The 21,008-nt window shown below is 50.0% G+C and overlaps 2 protein-coding genes across 20 annotated transcripts in view, besides 6 other annotated features; one reads left to right on the forward strand and one right to left on the reverse strand.

Moving 5' to 3' along the window:
- PAIP2 (poly(A) binding protein interacting protein 2) overlaps window positions 1-4,413 on the forward strand; it is a 27,864-nt gene extending 23,451 nt beyond the window's left edge. For all 8 annotated transcript variants that reach the window (NR_109830.2, XM_017009522.2, NM_016480.5 and 5 more), the window contains one exon: window positions 3,429-4,413. Coding sequence is in view for 7 of the 8 variants with exons in the window: in XM_017009522.2 (XP_016865011.1) it covers window positions 3,429-3,494 (66 nt within the window). In the remaining variant the exon portion in view is untranslated. The remainder of the gene's footprint in view (window positions 1-3,428) is intronic.
- Window positions 1,892-20,372, reverse strand: SLC23A1 (solute carrier family 23 member 1). Of its 12 annotated transcripts, none has more exons than XM_047417957.1 (16): window positions 20,120-20,372; window positions 17,914-17,975; window positions 17,188-17,301; window positions 16,588-16,745; window positions 15,494-15,582; window positions 15,249-15,328; window positions 14,904-15,085; window positions 14,652-14,772; window positions 14,374-14,530; window positions 13,903-14,050; window positions 13,275-13,380; window positions 12,918-13,047; window positions 12,671-12,814; window positions 12,098-12,193; window positions 6,683-6,949; window positions 1,892-2,327 (listed from the first exon to the last, which is right to left on the reverse strand). In XM_047417957.1, the coding sequence occupies exons 1-15, from the start codon at window positions 20,367-20,369 to the stop codon at window positions 6,702-6,704; spliced, it is 2,085 nt and encodes a 694-aa protein (XP_047273913.1). In that variant the 5' UTR covers window positions 20,370-20,372; the 3' UTR covers window positions 1,892-2,327; window positions 6,683-6,701. The 12 variants fall into 12 exon arrangements, with proteins under 12 accessions (XP_047273913.1, XP_005272206.4, XP_005272205.4 ...); XM_005272149.5 differs by lacking the exon at window positions 20,120-20,372 and adding an exon at window positions 19,054-20,102 and having other exon boundaries at window positions 15,261-15,328; XM_005272148.4 differs by lacking the exon at window positions 20,120-20,372 and adding an exon at window positions 19,054-20,102.
- Window positions 15,538-16,478: an enhancer, noted in NCBI's record as "H3K4me1 hESC enhancer chr5:138716531-138717471 (GRCh37/hg19 assembly coordinates)". NCBI's record gives its function as "activates a minimal SCP1, AML or CMV promoter by ChIP-STARR-seq in naive H9 embryonic stem cells {active_cell/tissue: H9 hESC(naive)}" and the evidence as "EXISTENCE:reporter gene assay evidence [ECO:0000049][PMID:30033119]".
- Window positions 16,954-17,003: an enhancer, noted in NCBI's record as "active region_23219". NCBI's record gives its function as "activates an Ori minimal core promoter by ATAC-STARR-seq in GM12878 lymphoblastoid cells {active_cell/tissue: GM12878}" and the evidence as "EXISTENCE:reporter gene assay evidence [ECO:0000049][PMID:35858748]".
- Window positions 17,294-17,353: a silencer, noted in NCBI's record as "silent region_16408". NCBI's record gives its function as "represses an Ori minimal core promoter by ATAC-STARR-seq in GM12878 lymphoblastoid cells {active_cell/tissue: GM12878}" and the evidence as "EXISTENCE:reporter gene assay evidence [ECO:0000049][PMID:35858748]".
- Window positions 18,604-18,673: an enhancer, noted in NCBI's record as "active region_23220". NCBI's record gives its function as "activates an Ori minimal core promoter by ATAC-STARR-seq in GM12878 lymphoblastoid cells {active_cell/tissue: GM12878}" and the evidence as "EXISTENCE:reporter gene assay evidence [ECO:0000049][PMID:35858748]".
- Window positions 18,694-18,863: an enhancer, noted in NCBI's record as "active region_23221". NCBI's record gives its function as "activates an Ori minimal core promoter by ATAC-STARR-seq in GM12878 lymphoblastoid cells {active_cell/tissue: GM12878}" and the evidence as "EXISTENCE:reporter gene assay evidence [ECO:0000049][PMID:35858748]".
- Window positions 19,244-19,413: an enhancer, noted in NCBI's record as "active region_23222". NCBI's record gives its function as "activates an Ori minimal core promoter by ATAC-STARR-seq in GM12878 lymphoblastoid cells {active_cell/tissue: GM12878}" and the evidence as "EXISTENCE:reporter gene assay evidence [ECO:0000049][PMID:35858748]".
- Window positions 20,373-21,008: the final 636 nt, after the last annotated feature.

The following is a 21,008-nucleotide window of genomic DNA, read 5'->3' on the forward strand; positions in this document are numbered from 1 at the left end:
GTGAAACCCCATCTGTACTAAAATTACAAAAATTAGCTGGGTGTGGTGGTGCATGCCTGTAAGTAATCCCAGCTACTCAAAAGGCTGAGGCAGGAGAATTGCTTGAATCTGGGAGGCGGAGGTTGCAGTGAGTGGAGATCGCACCATTGCACTCCAGCCTGGGCAACAGAGTGAGACTCTGACTCAAAAAAAAGAAAAAAAAAATACAAAAATTAGCTGGACATGGTGGCGGGCGCCTGTAGTTCCAGCTACTTGGGAGGCTGAGGCAGGAGAATCGCTTCAACCTGGAAGGCAGAGGTTGCAGTGATCCGAGATTACGCCACTGCACTCCAGCGTGGGTGACACAGCAAGACTGTCTCAAAAAAAAAAAAAGGAAAAAGGAATTGTGCTGCTTTTTACAATGGAAGCAGAGTCTCACGACATGGAATCACTTCCGGCAACACTGTAGAGCTAGTCTTAGACGGACTTCTAGCCCCTGCTTTTAGTCCTGATGTTGCCCTAGGGTACTTAAATGTCCTAAAGAATTAATAATTTAAAAACACACACAATATTATCATGTTACTTGCCTATACAGAAGTAGCTTGATGGAGAAGTTTTGCTCTTTAATCTTGTCTTGGCTGGGTGCAGTGGCTCATGCCTGTAATCCCAACACTTTGGGACGCCGAGGCACGCGGATCACGAGGTCAAGAGTTCGAGACCAGCCTGACCAACATGGTGAAACCCCGTCTCTACTAAAAGTATACAGAAAATTAGCTGGTTGTGGTGGTGCGTGCCTGTAATCCCAGCTACCTGGGAGGCTAAGGCAGGAGAATCGCATGAATCTGGGAGGTGGAGGTTGTGGTGAACCAAGATGGTGTCGTTGCACTCTAGCCTGGGCGACAGAGTGAGACTCCACCTCAAAAAAAAAAAAAAAAAAAAAAGCGGGGTGGGGGGAATTGTGATAACTAAACATCAGCACTAGAGTGAGAACTGGCTGGGTCCACTGAACTAATCTGTACACCATGATTACCTATGAAGCATTAAATACAAAAATCAGTTCTTTAGTTACATCCCAACATGCTCAGTTGTCTGGGCATGTTAATTTTTTAAAAGTACTACAGAGGATTTATTATACAGCCAACTTGCCTGAGTCGGTCATTTGGAAACCATTCTTCTAAAGGATGGTGTAGAGAGCACTGAAGTTTACATTGTGGTATATAGCCTTTGTTGCAGTAAGTGATGGTAACCCATTTGAGCAGCTGTATGATCTGAATAGTCTGGAGGGGGGTATGATTACTTACGGCTACATTAGTCACCATAAATAATCCAGTTGCCCTGCAGAGTAACACTCTTGGCTGAGCATAATGTATAACTTTAATCTGGACCCAGTATAATTCCATAGTACAGAAGCTGGTTTGTTCTTCTCAGTCTATTTGATATTACTTTGTTTCATTCTTCTGTTGCTCCCAGAAAATTGTTCATTTAAGAACACTGTGCCTGGATGTGGTGGCTCATGCTTGTAATCCCAGCACTTTGGGAGGCCAAAGTGGGAAGATTACTTTGGCCCAGGAGTTCGAGACCAGCCTGGGCAACAAAGGGAGACCCTGTTTCTACAAAAAGTTTAAAGTTAGCTGGGTGTGGTGGCACAGGCCTGTGGTCCCAGGTACTTGGGAGGCAGAGGCCAGAGGATCACTTGAGCCCAGGAGGCCGATGCTGCAGTGAGCTGTGATTGTTCCGCTGCCCTCCAGTCTAAGCAACAGAGCGAGTCCATGTCTCAAAAAAAGAGAAAAGGAATGCTGCTTTTTTTTCTTAAACTTCACACTTTTAAAATGTAGATACATTATTTCCCTTGGGGGAAGGGAGAATATATCCTGTCCAAAGAAACTGCTATGTATAAATTACGAAACTAAAATTATTTCTTCAACATGATGTTTAATATTATGCATTAGTCTTGAAGTGATGTAGGGTCAAATTCAATGTAAAAGCCTTGCAGCATACCTACATTTCAGGCCCTGGAACCTGCCCTCATTTCTTTTTATTTTTTTCAACTTGCAGTCTAAAATATCACAGAGGAAAATTTCTAGCTGTTCTTCCTAGATGCTGACAAGTCTACTTAGGAGAGTAAAGATTTAGAGACATAGCATAACATTGGTACAAGTCTCTAAGACTCAGACTTTGGCCCATTCCCCCCCACCCCTTTTTTTTTAACTGATGCAAAAATTTGAATCCCAGAGAAAGGTGACTTATCTGAGTTTACACAGAAGTTAGTTAGGGGCAGGGCTGGGATTTCAGGCTTAGGTCTTCTGGTTCCCCATGTAGTTTTCTTTTCCTGTTATATACCATGCTTCCTGTGGGAATTAGAAGATGGCAATTGTAGAAAAACAACTCCACATTTTTAGTGAGGATTCTAAAGTAAAATCAGCAATTCCCCAGTTACTTTAATCATAATTTCAACACTTGTTTAACATGGTTCCTTGGTATTTAGTGTTTAAAGAAAGCTACATACCATAGTTCGATTAACAGAATTCCTTGTTCCGTGCTATTCCTTTAACTTATGTGAAGTTACTGGATTTCTGGTTACACTTAAGCAAACTGAATTTCAATTCCTATTTTCTCTTTAGAAAATTGATGTAATTTAGGCCGGGTGCAGTGGCTCACGCCTGTAGTCCCAGCATTTTAGGAGGCCGAGGCAGGCAGATCACGAGGTCAGATCAACACCATCCTGGCTAACATGGTGAAACCCCTTCTCTACTAAAAATACGAAAAATTAGGCCGGGCGCGGTGGCTTACGCCTGTAATCCCAGCACTTTGGGAGGCCAAGGCGGGCGGATCACGAGGTCAGGAGATCGAGACCATCCTGGCTAACATGGTGAAACCCCGTCTTTACTAAAAATACAACAAAAAATTAGCTGGGCGTGGCGGTGGGCGCCTGTAGTCCCAGCTACTCAGGAGGATGAGAGACAGGAGAATGGTGTGAACCCGGGAGGCGGAGCTTGCAGTGAGCTGAGATCGCGCCACTGCACTGCAGCCTGGGTGACAGAGTGAGACTCCGTCTCATAAAAAAAAAACTAAATAAATAAATAAAAATACAAAAAATTAGTTGGGTGTGGTGGCACGCGCCTGTAGTCCCAGCTACTCAGGAGGCTGAGGCAGGAGAATCGCTTGAACCCAGGTGGCAGAGGTTGCAGTAAGCCTAGATTGTGCCACTGCACTCCAGCCTGGGCGACAGAGCAAGACTCCGTCACAAAAAAAGAAAAGAAAAAGTTGATGTAATTTAATATGATATATAGCTTACATCTGGTTCTTCCTTTTTGGGGTTTAGTATAGTCTTACAGACTGAGTTCTTTTGTCTTTTTTTTTTTGGAAGATGTTTTTGCATGAGGATCTAGATTGAATTAGTACCTGAAACTGTGTTAATGAACTTGCTTTTTTATGTACTTATTTTCCAGGTCAAGAGCAATCTGAATCCAAATGCAAAGGAGTTTGTTCCTGGGGTGAAGTACGGAAATATTTGAGTAGACGGGGCCCTCTTTTGGTGGATGTAGCACAATTTCCACACTGTGAAGGCAGTATTAGAAGACTTAATTGTAAAAGCTCTCTTGTCACTGTGTTACACTTATGCATTGCCAAAGTTTTTGTTAGTCTTGCATGCTTAATAAAAGTGCTGAGACTGTTACTAAGTAAAAAGCTGTCAAACATTTACTGAAAATAGAATTGGCCCCATGGCTTGATGTGAAGACAGCAAGGAAAGAAGCACCAGTCAAGTTGTGAACAAGCACCAAATTAAAAGACCTAAACCTTACCAAATTGTCTTTTTTTGAGGCTAATCTATCACTTGTTAATGTCTAAACTTTAAAATCAGTACATTTAATTTGAGTTCCAACTGTTAAGCATATTTCTCAGACTTAAATTTGATTATGTCCCCATCAAAAAGAATCTCCATTTTCTGAAGGTCTGTTAGTTAATTTGAGATAATTTGTTAAAGGCAAGTATGTCATATTACTGAGGCTACAAGTTAGTCAGCAGATGAGTGCCAGTCCAGCCTTTTCTGGTATGTTATTGTTAGAAATATTGAGTTCTAATGTTACATCTGAGGAAGTATGTAATTTGAGAATTGTAACTTCTAAGGGATTCACTGCATCATAGCTATGCCTGTATGGAGTCTAACATATGACCAATACCAACCCATAATCCAGCTGAACAAAGATACTGTAACATGATTTGAGTGGTGCTTTTCCTTGCTTTGTTAACCATCACGAGAGTCTGCAGCACAACTTTTAACAAAGCTAGAACAGTTTTGGCTTCTTAAACTTCATATTTGGGTAGGTTAAGCTGCCATACGTGTTCAGTGTGAATAGTGTTTAAGTTGAAAATATTGTAAAAAAATTATATTTTTTCAAAAATATTTAAAAAAATAAATAATAGTAGAACTGAGCAGATGGTTGTGTTTATTGGTGCTGGAATGTACTGTAGTGGTGTTACTCACTTGAGTATGGGCCCAGTGCCTCAGGACAATCTTGCTGGCAAAATGTGCTAAGCTTTCAGGCTTTGTTAGATTCTAACAGGTATGTTGCCATGCAAGTACCTTTCCAGAATATAGCAGTAGAATAACTCCATTGCCCATCCTTGCTTCTTAATCACCTCAGACTTCAGTGTCAGGGGAATCCTAGATAGTCATGTAAGAAACTTTATGGCTGACCAATATGATGGTGACCTTACTCTAATAGAACCTCCATTGTTTTTTGTTCTTCACAAGGGCTTTTTTTGAGCTTATTAGGTTGAAAAAGATTAAGAGAGCCATATAGTCAGTTCTGACTCACATTCTTCTGGCAGTGGGTATGGGGGAGGTTCTTTGGTGTGGGCACCTGTACCCCAGTGTGTGGTTGGTTGGTTGGTTGGTTTTTGGAGACGGAGTCCTGCTCTGTTGCCCAGGCTGAAGTACAGTGGCACGATCTCAGCTCACTGCAACCTTCACCTCCCAGGTTCAAGTGATTCTCCTGCCTCAGCCTCCCAAATAGCTAGGATTACAGTTGTGTGCCACCACACCTGGCTAATTTTTGTATTTTTAGTAGAGACCGAGTTTCACCATGTTAGCCGGGCTGGTCTTGAACTCCTGACTTCAGGTTATCCACCTGCCTCGGCCTCCCAAAGTGCTGAGATTACAGGCGTGAGCCACCGCACCCAGCCTTTATTTATTTATTTATTTATTTATTTATTTATTTATTTTCAAGACAGAGTCTCACTCTGTCACCAAGGCTGGAGTGCAGTCATGCAATCTCAGTTCAATGCAACCTCTGCCTCCTGGGCTCAAGTGATTCTCCTGTCTCAGCCTCAAGTAGCTGGGATTACAGGCGCCTACCACCACGCCTGGCTAATTTTTGTATTTTTTTAGTAGAGATGCGGTTTTGCCATGTTGGCCAGGCTGGACTCGAACTCCTGACCTCAGGTGATCGCCCTTAAGAGTAAAGATTCTTGAATGTGGCTTTTGTTGGGAAAAAAATTTAAAAAAAGAAAAGGGGGCTCTAGGCTGGGTGCGGTGGCTCACGCCTGTAATCCCAGTACTTTGGGAGGTCAAGGTAGGTGGATCATTTGAGGTTAGGAGTTTGAGACCAGCCTGGCCAACATGGTGAAACTCCATCTCTACAAAAATAAGCTGGGCATGGTGGTAGACGCCTGTAATCCCAGCTACTCAGAAGGCTGAGACAGGAGAATTGCTTGAACCCGGGAGGTGGAGGTTGCAGTGAGCCGAGATGGCGCCACTGCACTCCAGCCTGGGCGACAGAGCAAGACTCTGTCTCAAAAAAAAAGGAAAAGGGAACTCTAGCCAGACTTCCTGGATGTGAATCCTGTGATCATGGGCATATCACTTAACCTTTCTGTACCTTCCTTTCCACATCTCTAAAATAGCAGTAATAACTGTCTCTGGATTATGTGAGTAGTTAATATATATAAGTACTTAAGACATAGAAAGTCCTGTTTTAAGTGTTGTTATTTTTACTATTAAGGAGTCATCTAGGCTAACCTCTCTTTTTGGGAACTTTTCTTGTCTGTCTGAGGGAACGTGCACATTGAACCCACTTCAGTGTTTAGTAGAGAGCCAGGCATCTGCATTACAGATAGTGATGGAAGGTTTCCGAGCATCAGCTGCCCATGCGTTCTGAAGACCTAAGGACAAAGTGTCACCTCATCAGGGCTTGTACAGGCATCGTTTTAGGATAAAGGCATCCTGTTTTAAAGGGTTTTAATTTTATGACGTTATTGAGACAAGGCAGTGTATATGAGAGGATTTTTCCTGTTCTTGTGCTGCATTTCTCAACATTTTCCATGTCGCATATCAAAGTGATACTTGTTTAGCATACTGGAGTACAAGAATGAGGCTGCCAGTGGCTAGAGTTCTTAGCTCAAGGACTCCAATTGGCCCAGATTCTGCCCAGGTGTCTGGAAGGCTAGAGGATCTGCATTTCAGCATACTTGTAGCCTCTTAGTGGCCCACACTAGTTGGGAAGTTCTGCTGTTACTATGAAATGGTAAAGGAATTCCACCCAAAATCCGTATGTTGACTTTTTACCCAGCTCACCTTCTCTTTGAGGACATTCAAACAGTTTACAAGAAAGAGAACTGAGTAGTTTGGTTTTTCTTTGGTTAAAGCATAAGAATGTTTTGATTATTCAACCCTCCCACAAAAACCATAGACACATCCTACCTTTCCTGGAAGTCATTTTTCAGACCTTGGTGCACACAGATGCAGTTTCTGTATTTTCTGGAGTGTCTTCTGGAATTGCAATCTGATCTTTTGAACTTGAAGAAAATCCTTTGAAGACTGGGCAGATAGGAATGTATTTCAGAAAGGTAATTCTTTTTACTATGCCCATCCCAATGGGGAAATCGTAGCTCTTGAGGCTGGAAGACATGTCACTGTTGGCATGAGCCCCAGCTTTCCACTGTATCAGACCACGCTCCTCTGGGCTCCCTGGAAGAGGATAGTGAGGTCATTTACCAAGGCCAGCAACCCTCAGCCACCCCCACTTCCCATAACCCAGTCCTAAGGCAGACTTCTGGAATCAAGTATCTTCCTTAACTATCATTTGGTCCTAAAACGTGGCTGAATCTATGGTTTCTGAGCTCCTAACTTGGCCAGAGCTCTAAGGAACACTAAAGGATACTAGTTATAGTAGTATTTATTGTGTAACTACAGTGTGCCAGGCTCTGTGCTAAGTGCTTTAATTTCATTATCTTGTTTCTTGAAAACATACCCCTGGGAGATGTATAGACACCATTGTACAAATTTTTATTTTATTTTATTTTATTTATTTATTTTTTTGAGACAGTCTCGCTCTGTTGCCCAGGCTGGAGTGCACTGGCACGATCTCGGCTCACTGCCACCTCCTCCTCCCGGGTTTAAGCGATTATCCTGCCTCAGTCTCCTTAGTAGCTGGGATTACAGGCATGCACCACCATGCCCAGCTAATTTTTGTATTTTTAGTAGAGACGGGGTGTCACTATGTTGGTCAGGCTGGTCTTGAACTCCTGACCTTGTGATCTGCCTGGCTTGGCCTCCCAAAGTGCTGGGATTATAAGCGTGAGCCACTGTGCCCGGCCTATACAAAATTTTAAGATGAAGAAAGGGACAAAAAGTTAAGTAATTGTGAACCTAAATCTGTGAGTATGTGGTAATGTGTGTTAGGCCCATGGGGACCAAATCAAGTCCAGATTGCGTTCTGGGGGTAAGGGAGGCATATTTTGAAACACTATAATCAGTGTTAATATTTCATATTATGATTCCATATGTGAAAAACTCATTTTTATAATACAAACTTCAGAAAGTCAAGCTAAATAAAATCTTTGGAGGTAGGGATACACCAAATAATTTGTTTTTTTGTGTTGTGTTTTTTTTGTTGTTGTTGTTGTTTTTGAGACAGAGTCTTGCTCTGTTGCCCAGGATGGAGTACAGTGGGTTGATCTCGGTTCACTGCAACCTCTGCCTCCCAGATGCAAGCGATTCTCCTGCCTCAGCCTCCCGAGTAGCTGGGATTACAGGTGTGACCCACCACGCCCGGCTAATTACTGTAATTTTAATAGAGATGAGGTTTCACCATGTTGGCCAGGCACTGGTGTCGAACTCCTGACCTCAAGTGATCAGCCCGCCTTGGCCTTGCAAAGTTCTGGGATTATAGGTGTGAGCCACTGAGCCGGGCTAGTAATTTTTACAACTAGGAATTCTCCCTCAGGTGGGGCAGGGTCACATGAGATCTCAGGTTTTCACAAGAGGGCTGGGATCGACAAAGACTGAAATACTATAAATCTAGCAGGAGTGGGAATTTCCACTTGCTGGCAGCCCAGGCTGAGAACAAACCCATGAGTAGCACAAACCAAGTTATGTTCCAAAATCTCACAGGAGAGGGCACTGAGGGAAGGTGGAGTCCCTAGGGAAGACTACCTGGAAGAGACACTGTTTGGGCTTGGCTCTACAAAGGGCACACACAGTCTGGAAGAGAAACCTTGATTGGGCTTGGCTGTACAAAGGGCACACACAGTGGGCACAGTAGAGTGGGATGAGCCATAGGTGTGGCGTAGGACTATGTTTCTGGTGTCCGATTACCTCGCACCACTGCCAAGACACACATGGCAGCCAGCCCAGAGCTCCCTCTAGCAGACCAGTCAGCCTGCCCACTACATCCCAACCTTCAGTGCCTTCTGTACTTCTCCAAGCCCCCTCCTTTTTCCTAGGCCTCACCTACTCTCCCTCATCAGTAAACCCTCCCAATAACTCCAGCCCGGCTTCCTTGACTTCATTGCTTGCTTAAATCTAGTTTTACCACCTATCTTGTGCCAGGAGCTCCTCTAAACAAATTGTTACTGACTTACACTTTTTGGCATATCCTCCTCAGTGTCTGATTCAGGGCCAAGCTGGTAAGCTCTAGCAGCATGTGCTGAACTAAACGGACTGCCCTCTAAGGTTGGGCTCTGGATAGGTAAAGACAAAGAGCACCCTGTGTCTACTAAAAATACAAAAAATTAGCCAGGCGTGGTGGCGGGCACCGGTAGTCCCAGCTACTCGGGAGGCTGAGGCAGGAGAATGGTGTGAACCTGGGAGGCACAGCCAAGATTGCGCCACTGCACTCCAGCCTGGGCGACAGAGCGAGACTCCGTCTCAAAAACAAAACAAACAAACAAACAAAAAAAACAAATGCAAAATGGCCCATCCCCAGCAGGAAGTTAAGGGCTGGAAAAGGCTTTTGCTATTCCATGGTTAAGGACAGGGTTTTGAGCCAGCTAGACCTTAGTTTGAATCCAGGTTGTGTGACCTTAGGCAAGTGACAACCCCCCTGAGCTTTAGGTTCCTCAGTGGATACTGAAGACTGCTGAGCTTATGTGGCATGACACACAGGATGATTCCTGGCAGGGACAGTTGTGATGCTCAGGTGGGTTGAAATGTGGGGTATAAGGGACTCAGGCAGTTCTGCAGCTGTTGTTAAGGATGACTGGATAGCTTAAACTAGCCACCCAAGTCACAAAGAAGCCTCTTCATGTACAGATGCCTACCCAGATGCTCTCCATCTCCTCATATTCCCTAGGCATTGAGGCTGCCACTTGACTGTCTCAGGCCCATAGGATGGTCTGTTCCAGCCCCCAGTCTAGCATCCTCTAAATGGGCAGGGGTACCATGTTCAAATAGCCACCCATCCATCGAAGGGACAGCTGCTACCAAGAGCACCTTCCTTTGATTCTGCCTAAAATCCTACGGGGAACCCTGGCCCTCCTCTGTCCTCCCCAGCCCCAACCCACCAGCTGTTCAGAGACAGCCTCTGACACCTATGTTATGTGAACATGAACACTTGGATCTTGAGAGAGAGGGAGGCAGACAGGACCTGTGGCTGTGATCAGGCTGGTAAGTGACAAAATGGAGGCCCATCATCTTGCTACTACCATCCCTTATGTCCCTATACTGATGCAGTCATTAACTCCCATCTCCATGGAGCCTTCCCCAGTCCTGCAGCCCAGGTCCCCTGAAACCCTCCAGCAGAGGCAGTATGGTGCAGTGGATGGGACACAGGCCATTGACTGCGTCAGATGGATGTTGTTAAAAATCCCAGATTTAGCCAGATGGTATATAGCATGCACCTGTACTCTCAGCTCTTCAGGAGGCCGAGACAGAAGGATTGCTTGAGTCCAGGAGTTTGAGGCTGTAGTATGCTATGATCACACCTGTGAATAACCACTGCACTCCAGCCTGGGCAACATAGACCCCCATCTTAATTTAAAAATAGAGGCTAGGTGTGGTGGCTCACGCCTGTAATCCTAGCACTTTGGGAGGCCAAGGTGGGCGGATCACCTGAGGTCAGGAGTTTGAGACTACCCTGGCCAACATAGTGAAACCCTGTCTCTACTAAAAATACAAAAATTAGCTGGGTGTGGTGGTGCACACCTGTAATCCCAGCTACTTGGGAGGCTGAGGCAAGAGAATCGGTTGAGCTCAGGAGGCGGAGGTGGCAGTGAGCCGAGATCACGCCATTGTGCTCCAGCCTGGGTGACAAGAGCAAGACTCCATCTCAAAAAAAAAAAATTGAGGACAGGTGTGGTGGCTCACACCTATAATCCCAGTACTTTGAGAGGCTGAGATGGGAGGATCACTTGAGCCCAGGAGTTCAAGACCAACCTTGGCAATAAAGTAAGACCCCGTCTCTACAAAAAATTCAAAAATTAGCCGGGCATGGTGGCATGCACCTGTGCACCGGTAGTCCCAATTATTTGGGAGGCTGAGGCAGGAGGGTCACATAAGCCCAGGAGTTTGAGGCTGTAGTGAGCTATGATTGTGCCACTACACTCCAGTCTGGGTGATAGTCTGAGACCCTGTCTCAATTAAAATATACATCCCAGATTTGCGATGTTTTAATTTTTTTTTTGAGATGGAGTCTCACCCTGTCACCCAGGCTGGAGTGCAATGGCACGATCTCGGCCCACCGCAACCTTCGCCTCCCAGGTTCAAGCAATTCTCCTGCCTCAGCCTCCCGAGAAGCTGGGATTACAGGCACACACCACCACACCCAGCTAATTTTTGCATTTTTAGTAGAGATGGGGTTTCACCATGTTGGCCAGGCTTGTCTCAAACTCCTGACCTCGTGATCCACCCGCCTTAGCCTCCCAAAGTGATGGGATTACAGGCATGAGCCACCATGCTCGGCCGTGATGTTTTAATTTTGTGACTTTATGACTTTGTGGTTTTTGAGGATGAAGTAAGACACTTAGCTCTGCCTTACCCATAGTATATGTTTGCTAAATGTTAACTGTTTGTTATCAGAGCACCTGGTGACATTTATTTTATATATTTACTGGCATCTTTATGCGGGCCCCACAAAGTATCCTCCACGATCTTTGCAAAAAGCTCTGGTACCAAAGGGAAATGTTAGTGGCTCTTCTAGTCGCCATTGTGGCAGGCTGCTGACATATTTGGAGTGGATGGATTTTGCCAACAAACTGATGCTGCATTTATCTCTGTCCTACTCTGAAGAAAGCAAAGACATCCCTCAGCCCAGTGGCTATTAAGAAATGGAGAGGAGGCCAGGTGCAGTGGCTCATGCCTGTAATCCAGCACTTTGGGAGGTTGAGGCGAGCGTATCACTTGAGGTCAGGAGTTCAAGACCAGCCTGCCCAATATGGTGAAACCCCATCTCTACCAAAAATATGAAAATTAGCTGGGCGTGGTGGCAGCCACCTGTAGTCCCAGCTACTCAGGAGACAGGAGAATCACTTGAACCCTCCGGGAAGTGGAGGTTGCAGTGAGCTGAGATCGCACCACTGCACTCCAGCCTGGGTGACAGGGCGAGACTCCATCTCGGAAAAAAAAAAAGGAAAGAAATGGAAAAAGTGGAGAGGAAAGGATTCACAGGACCCAGCAGTGACTCTTCCGGCCCCATCCTCTTCAAGACCTCTGAGGCATGTCTGTGCCTCATTCTCTCCCTCCAGCCAGTGAGCACTCCACCAGCCCATCTATTCCTGATGCTCCCTGCAGGGCCTGCATTGCATGGGACCTAACCACACAGCTCCAGCTCAGAGGCCATCTGTTGGAGTGCATGAGTCCAGCCTAGTTCTTCATTCCCCTCCCAGGACCGAACCATACCTGGCACTGTGTTGTCAAGTATGAAAGCAAGGCACCCGCCCACAAACATCTCCGTGGTCAGCAGCACAATCAGAATCTGATCCACTTCAAGAATGCCTGTGGAATAGGCCAAGGGCCAATGGGTGTCATGGCCCAATCTGGAGAGCAGAGTTGAGGGACTTCCTCTTGTGCAGCTATGGCAAAGGAACAGTACAAAGCCCTGTCTCAAACCTATCTCTGTCTTTCCTATCTCTGGGTTCAAGTCCCAATTCTGCCAGTTGCTAGTTGTTCACCTGGGACAAATCACTGAGCCTCATCTTCCTCATCTGTAAAGTTGAAATGATAATGGAGAAATGATAAATGTAGATAAATGGAGCTGTTTTGAAAATTAAATAAGCACATGTAAAGGTCAATATCTGTCCACAGGAAGTGTCTTAGTAAAGGACAGCTGTGACCCAAGCTCTCAGCTGCTGGTTGACACCCAGAGTTGGGTACGATTTGTGGCTGTAGCTGTGTGGAGCCTTTGAGGGAGGGGGCTGTGCTCAAAATTTTGGGCCCACCCCGCCTTTGGAGACAGTAAACAGCTGGAGGCACCTGTATTGATGGCGCCAGGGTTGGACTCCAGGTAATTGGGCAGCGTGAGCCCGAAGAACATGGAAAATCCCAGCACGAAGAGGTTGCGAGAGGAGTTCATGTCCACAAATTGCAGGTTGGACAGCCCCACAGCTGTAATCATGCCTAAGGGCGCAAGAGAACGGCTGGAGGCGCCGCACACGCGTAATCCAGGTGAGTCCCACTCGGCGACCCGCACCGCGACCCGTGGCCCGCGCCAGACACTCACCAAAGAGAGTGCAGAACATGCCCCCCAGGATGGGGTCAGGGAGCGAGGCGAAGAGGGCCGTGAACTTGCCGATGGTGCCCAGGACCAGCATGATAGCCGCACCATACTGCACCACGCGCCGGCTGCCCACCTGCCGGGGAGCCAGCGGGGAAGCTAGACCTGGGGACGAGGCTGGGGCGGGGTTAGTTCCAGGGGCGGGGCCTGTTATAAGAGCGAGGCATAAACCGGCTGGGGCTTGATGCGGGGGCGAGGCCTCTCAAAGACAGGGTGGGGCTAAACCAAAGTGGGGACCGAGTTGGGGCGGGGCCTGCGGCCCACGGAATTAGGGCAGGATTTGGCTCTGGCTCGTCGCGACACCTTGGTAATTCCCAGGACGCCAATGTTGGGACTGGACGAGGTGGACCCGTTGCCCGTGCCCAATAGCCCCGCGATGATGCAGCAAATGCCTTCGGTGAAGATGCCCCTGTAAGGAAAGGGAGAGTCGGGGCTTGGTCCAGCCTCTGCACCAGTCTGTGTTCCCCCATCATCTTAGCAAGCTGCCGTCCTCTGGGGCTGTGGGGGCTGCAGCTATCAGCTGTAGCACTCCCTACTACAGGCCAGAATGCTCAGGCTCCAGAGCTAGTCCTAGTGCCCTGGCACTTACTCCTGTGGGTAATTCTGGCCTTCAATTTCCTCCTGGGATAAATACCGGTGCCCGTCTCACAAAATGCTTCAAAGATTGCATAAGAATGCACAGTCAGAGCCGGGCACATGGAGGGCTGTCAATGACGGTGGTTCCCTTTGGACTCCACCATCTTCTCAGCTACTCCCAGCAAAGACAGAGGGGTGATGAGAGGGCACCCCCATCGCACAAACAAGGAGAATGAGGTCTGGAGCGTGTTCCCGACTTGCCTAAGCCTACCCCCTGGGCCTCCACCCCGTTCCTGTGTGTGCTTCCTGGGTGGCGCCTGAGGAGATCAGATACTGAGGAGGGCAGGTAGGCTACCTGTTGATAGCATGTACTGGAGGGGGTGGTGCACCAGCCAGGCGGGCACAGGCGTAGTAATCTCCGATGGACTCAATGATGCCTGCCAGAGTGGCGCTGAACATTCCCAGGACAGCAGCCGCAGTCACCGTGGGCAGGCCCCACTGACCTGTGCTCGGAGGGAGACAGGATGGTGGCTACAGTGAGGAGACTGTGATGGTTAGGAATAGACAGGGCAGTGCTGGAAGGAGCAAGAGCAGATCAGGAGACCTCAGGCTGGGATGGGAGCTATACAGTTGTGGGAGCTTATTTGAGTCACTCAGAGCCAGGAAGTGGGACTGAAGCTTTGTCTAAGTAAAACACCACTCTGCTGGGCGCACTATAAATGTGCGGCTAATGCTAGGTGTGTCACCTGCTGGATTGGGGTCACCAGGAGTCTGTCTCATAGGTGGTCTCAGTTGGGGGCAGAGGGGCCCAAGGGGTGTTGCTCACAGGGGTAGGGGATGCGGATCCAGGGTGCAATAGCCATGATGTCACCACGGGCATCGGTTCGTGCCTGGAAGCCATAGGCTTTTGGGTCTGTGGGCAGCACGTCTGTCAAGGTCAGGACATAGCAGAGCAGCCACACGGTCATGATGGCCAGCATGATCTGAAGGAGGGGGGTGAGGGGGCACTGAAGGCACTGGAGGTCTCTGTCCAGGCTAACCTGCTCCCACCTCAGCCCAAGCCCTGGCCATAGTCCCAGCCCCAGCCGCCTGCCAGGTCCTCACAGGAAACATTTTGAAGATCTGGATGCGGAGGAGAGTGAGGCCCTTGCCCCAGCGGTAGACAGGCAGCAGGAAGGTGAGGTTGCGCAGGTACTGGGAGAAGAGGATGATCAGGAGAATGGAGCTGGGGGCAGAGGCACAATCAGGAAGTGGATGGGAGGCCAGGCTGGGGCCAGGAGCCGGGAAGAAGGACCAAGGACATGAAGAGGGTAGGGTGCTGGGGCTGGGCAGGGATCAGGCCTGGTGCCTGCTCACCAAGCTGAGATGCCCCAGTGGGAGCCAGCTCGGTCGCCAGCAGCTTGGAAGACAGAAAGGCCAATGAGGGAGACAGTGGGGGTGACTGTGAGAGGCCCAATGTAGTTGAGCAGGGCCCCAGGCAGCCCCAGCAGGCCAATCACCACCTCCACCACGCTGGACACCATGATTGCACCCTGGACCTGGAAGGGCAAACATCAGCCGTAAGTCACCATGTAAAGGTCATGACCTGGCTGCTGCTAGCAGGAACAAAGCTCCTGGACCACCTCCTCAAATCCCCAAACTCAGCGGCCACCCTCACTCCCATATAGCCCCTCCTCAGGACCCGGCCTCTTCTATGCTTACATGCAAACCCACCTCCCGTATCCGTGGGTGCCAAATATGAGAGGTGTTCAGGGGCAGACTCCAGTTACCGTAGATCTCCTCTGGGGGTAGAGTCAGGGATACACACACGGACCAGGTACAGAGACAGAGAGGGAGAGAAGATGCTGCCATGGCTGCACCCTGGTGTTGACCCGGGACAGTTGCTCAGACCTCCAGGTCTCTGGGCCTCCCCTTTTCCCCAGTGCAGACCCCAGAAGTGTACCCACCTTCCGGGGGGCATTTCCATCTCTCCAGAGCCAGTATGGCTTTGGCTGGAACCAGAAATGCAAAGGCACTGGCCTGGAACAGCGGCAGCCTGGAGGAGAGGCACAAAGCAACAGGGGTGGGGAGGGGCGGGTGGGGAGGAGGGATAAAGATGCGGGGAGAGATCAGGAAGGGAGAGCACAGAGAGAGTGACAGAGACACAAGGGACAAGGGCAGATGGAAATCGTTGAGGCCCCAGGGAAGACCATCTCTAACATTTTGGCTGCCCAAGGAAGAAAACAAATGGAGCCCCCAGCTCAAAACCTGCCCCCTTCCCACCACCAGCTCCTGCACTGTGAGGAGGGGGCACCTGCCCGGAAGTGGACACCTCAGTTCCCGCATCCAGGTTTCTCTCACAATCTTCCCCTGTCCCCCGCTGCTCAAACAGCTCAAATGCCACCCAGGCCTAGGGCTGTGCACTCGGGAGCGTGGGGCCCTGGGAGGGTGGGCTGTCGAAGAGGCTGGCACCAACCCTGGGAGCTAGCTCAGGGCTGCCATCTGGGCAATATTCAGAATGGGGTTTAAGAGGGGAGAGCCGGCTAGGCTTGGTGGCTCACGCCTGTAATCCCAGCACTTTGGGAGGCCAAGGTGGGCAGATACAAATACAAAATTAGCCGGGCATGGTGGCGCATGCCTGTAATCCCAGCTACTCAGGAGGCTAAGGTGGGAGAATCGCTTGAACGCGGGAGAATCGCTTGAACCCGGGAGGTGGTGGTTGTGGTGAGCCGAGATCACGCCACCGCAATCCAGCCTAGGCAACAAGAGCAAAACTCCGTCTCCAAAAAAAAAAAAAAAAAAAAAAAAAGAGGGGAGAGCCAGCGAGGGTACAATCCCTTAAACTTGCAGATGCCTGGTCTTTGAAGTGTGCCTAGATCAAGATTCCCAGGGTTGGGGCCACGCTGCCCAGCTCTAAGGCTGGCCTGGGATAGGAGAAGCAGGTGGAGGCAGAAAGCGGCTTTTTTGTCTCACCAGTGTCCTCTGGGAGCCCACCTGCTCCTGCTGTGTGGATCACAGTGGAGGGGTGGCGGGGGACGGGTTGGGGGGCTGGGCGGCTCACCGGATGCCCACGGTGGTCTGGATGAGAGTGGTGATGCCCACGCACGTGAAGATGGTGCCGATGAGCTGACTAACCATGTGCTGGTCGTGGCCCACACACAGCGCCTCAGCCAGCAGGAAGGGCACGGCGATGGTACCACTGAAGCATGTCAGGTAGTGCTGGGCAGAGGGAGACAGCAGAGTGCATGAGGCAGGACCCCAGAGCTCCAGGGAGAGGGGACAACCTAGTGTCCTCATGCCTGCCTCAGCGGGCCTGGAACCGGCTGCCTGCCCAGGACTGGCAGTCCCCACAAGGGATTCCCAGAGAGCTACTGCTGACCACTCTGGGGGTCACTAATTTCCACTCAAGATATTCCTGCGGCTTCCGTGGAGTCGGCTCTGCTCCCTGTCACCAACACCCCACCTGGCAAGCGTCACACTCCCCCAGGGAGTTCATCTTCTTTCAGGATTCAGCCTCTTCCCGACTCCTGCTTGCTGACAGCCACTGTGCTGACCTCAGGTTTTTCTTCCTGTTACCCAAGATACTCCCTGCTGGCCAGGGAGGGGCTGGAGTCCCCGGGGAGTGTGCAGAGTGAGGGCGGGGAGGCCCTGGGGGACCCACCTGGAAGCCCAGCAGGATGCACAGGTACCAAGGTGGCACGTCCTCGATCTTGTACAACATGTCAAACTTAGGCTCTGTGGGTAGCGGGGTCGAGGGGTCCCTGGTGGTTTCATGCTGGAGGCAGCAGAGATAAGTAGCTTAGGGTGAAGTGATGGGGACAGGCAAAATCCATTCTGCCCCAGAATCAATCAGGCAGCCCAAGTGGCTTGTCAGCAACTGAGAGCGGGGTTCCCGCCCTCCCCAACAGTCCATCCACCCGGGTGCCACTTGGCCTGGCCACAGTTTTCTCCCACTTTGCATTGCTTCCCGCAGGGATGAGTCTACTGTGCCAGCTTCTAGAGCCCTCAGGACCTGCCATTTTAGCCAGGGAAGTGGACCCTTAAGTCAGAAGTCTTGGAGACCACAGGAGAGGGGGCCAAGAGGGCTCAAGACTGTGGACAAGTCCAATCCGGTCCCACCTCTGCCCCCTGGAGATCCTTGGGGTGTCACTGGCCGGGAGATTAGGCCTCTCCTGAACCCCAACCTGGAGTCAGCCAGTCCCAAAGCTGCAGGCTCCTTCACCCCCACCTCCACCCATCCCCCAGTTGCCACATTCAATTTGGGACAGTCACTCTTATCAAGTTCATCAGAACGTTTATCTCTGGCCTCCAGGAAGAAGGCCTGCACAGGCCCTCCAGCCCCCCACCCCCCCTGCCCCCCCTAGCCCCCACCCCCAGCCCCCAGCACCTGTGTCCGGCCCTCGAGGTCCTCCTGGGCCCTCATCTTTGGGGCACAGGTTTGAGCAGTTCCTGAGGAGAAGAGGGGATGACTTGACAAAGGCCAAGGAGGAGGACTTTACTCCACATATCAGGCATTGTTTGAAGTAAATCTGTAACCAGATGCCCAGCTCTGGATTGCGAAAGGGGGGCCCGGGCAGAGGTAATGTATTAACTCTCACTAGGACAGTAAAAGCCACCCAAGCCTCTGCCACATGTGCCCTTCCCTGCCCACATCTGCGCCTGGGCGCTGGACCTGTTCTTGTTTCCCAAGAGAGGGCCAGAGTCGAGGGGGTGAGGACCAGAAGTTTACCAAGCCCCAGGTGAGCGGAGAAAGAGGGAGTGGAAACAGGCACTTATTATGTAACCCCCTGTATGAGGCCCTTCCCCACTGATTAATAACTAGTTCATCATTATCATCATCATCATAGTCATTCTCGTTATTGAGGAATGGCCTTGGCCTTGTGCCAAGAAACATGGATCTGCACTGTCCCAAGTAACCCCTGTGCTGGGCGGTATTAACCCCTTTAACAGCGAAGGAAACAGATTCAGTAGATGTGATTTGACCCAAGCCATGCAGATAGCAAGTTTGCAGAAACCAATCCTAAAATTCAGGTTGGTCTGAGCTGCCTTGCCCTCACCACCCTGCACCCCTCAGGGTCCCTGAGGCAGGCAGCAGATGGGCCTCTGCAGGCAGAGCTGCCTAGGCTGGCCCAGCCGGGTCTGCACTCTGTGTCAGGGCACAGATCCCTTTCCCCTCCCAGCCACATAATTTCTGGGACCCAGTGCAAAGTAAGAATGTGAGGCCTTTATTCCAAAAGTATAAAGAATTTAAAGATAGCAGGAGCATTAGATGGAGCGTGGGGCCTTTCTATGCACCAAGCCCTGTGTGACTGCCCATCACCTAGCCCAGGAAGGCAGTCCTATGCCCAGCCTGTCTCCCCTCCTGGCAGGCCCAGCCCAGCCTGGCCCTAGGGCCTGAGATGGCAGAGGGGGACATGGGGAGGGGCCCTAAGAACTCAGGCTCCTCAGCTGGTGAGGGCTGGGCCTGAGGTCCCCATTCTGTTCCCCTCTGGGCTGCCCCAGCCCCAGCACTCTAGAGCCCACCTACTTCTGGGTCGCTGTGCCCATGGCCAGGCCCTGCCTGAAGGGCCAAGGGGCAGCACCGCTCTCCAGCTGGGCAGCAGCTTCATGCCACAGCACTGAGTCCGCCCGCCTGCCGGTGTCCACACTGTTCCTCTGTCCGCCTGTCCTCTCCTCTCCCTCTTGGCTACTGCTCCCAATTTCCAAAGTTGCTGGACCAGTTTGAAGCCTCTGCAACTCCCCAGCACTTTTCTCTCCAACTTCTCCTCCCAGAACTCCCCAGGGTGCTGTGGAGACCAAGCCCGACCCCCTGCAGATACGGCTCCATGGACACTCAATTCAACCCAAACCACACAACACGCATAGAGAACAAGGTGGAGAACACGGTCCCAGATCCACAGTAGCATGAAGGGGCCCACACACCCAGAGCTGATGCAGCCTCTCTAATCACCCCACAGAAACACAGGTCCACGTCATGGGTGCCCGGCTCCACACCCTGTCCTGAAAGCTTAGTGGGTTTCTTGGGCCCTGACTTTCCTCCTGGTGTCTAGGGTTTCTCTCCTGAGTGAAGGCCACGGATGGTGGGGCTTCAGGCAGGTCCTGGAACAGGTGAAGGATGGAGGGGGCTGAGTGCAGCTCCCAGGGAAGCTGGAGTGGCCAGGGCCTGCCCCAGGCACCTCCATTCCCCCAGCAGCCCGCCTCTCCGGTCCCCTAAGTCTGAATCCCCTCCCAGCCCTACTACTACTCAGCCAGGGACTTGGCCCAAACCCCTTCTGTTGTCTAAGTTTCGGTTTCTGCATCTGTCAAAGGGGGATTAGATTGTCTTCCTGCACATGGCTCTCGTGCAAAATAAAAATATTTCTAAAAATGAGGGTTAGAATGTTCTGTCTCTCTCCCAGGGCTTGGCCAGATCAGAGACACTCACAAACGAAACTGAAAGTTCTGGTGCCACCGATCTCCAGTTCCCAGACCTAGGTGGGGTCCAGGGCTTCTTTACTAAGGAAAAGCCCCAGCCAGAAGAATTTCCAGAGAAAGCAGGACTGAGAACCAAAATGTTGAATCTGGCTGGTCAGAAACCCAGGGCCCATCCATACCAGCTGGGGTCAAAGGCAGAGTGTGGAAAATGAACAGCCATTGGGTGTAGACCCAGTGAGACGTGTGTTCTCGGAGGGGTGCAGATAGCATGGAGTGGCTGGAATAGGTGTGCCACAAGGTGGCCTGCGTGCACAGTTTTCCTTGGTTCTCTTTTCTCATGAAGGCTCTGAAGACCTGGGATGTCACTGAAACCACCTTTGCAAAATTATGACTGAGACAGTGAAAGAGATCTAACTTAATCAGTTCCATCTTGCTTCTAACCTCCAAGTTGTCTTTCTTCATTCCTGAGTGTAGGCTGAACTAACCTTGGGAGAAACTTAGTTTTTAGTTTATAGTCTAAAACAAAGACAATAACAGCCCTTTCTCAAAGCAGACCTCCTTCTTGCCTGAGGACTAGATTGCCTTTGTAGGATGGAGCAACATTAGCCACAAGATGAGAAATTTTGGTTTAGGAGTCATGCAGCTAGAGGTTACAAGATTCTGACCCTCTCTAAACTGCTCCTAAGATCAGTGCTTGAGATACTTTGCAGACCCTGCACTTGATAGATCAGCTGGCATCACCCAGATCCATAAATTGGCTCGTTGGGACTTGTGGCCTCCACCTAGGAACTGACTCAAGGCAAGGAGACAGCTTCAACTCCCTATGATTTCAGTCCTGACCAATCAGCACTCCTGGCTCACTGGCTTCCCCGCCATCCACCAAGTTGTCCTTAAAAACTCTGCTCCCTGAATGCTTGGGGAGACTGATTTGAGTAATAGTAAAACGCTGGTCTCCTGCACAGCCAGCTCTGCGTTAATTAGTCTTTATTGCAATTCCCCTGTCTTGAGCAATCGGCTCTGTCTAGGCTTGAGCAAGGTGAACCCTTTGGGCGATTACATCACCACACC

This window comes from Homo sapiens, chromosome 5 (genome assembly GCF_000001405.40).
Source record: "Homo sapiens chromosome 5, GRCh38.p14 Primary Assembly".
Taxonomy (NCBI): domain Eukaryota; kingdom Metazoa; phylum Chordata; class Mammalia; order Primates; family Hominidae; genus Homo; species Homo sapiens.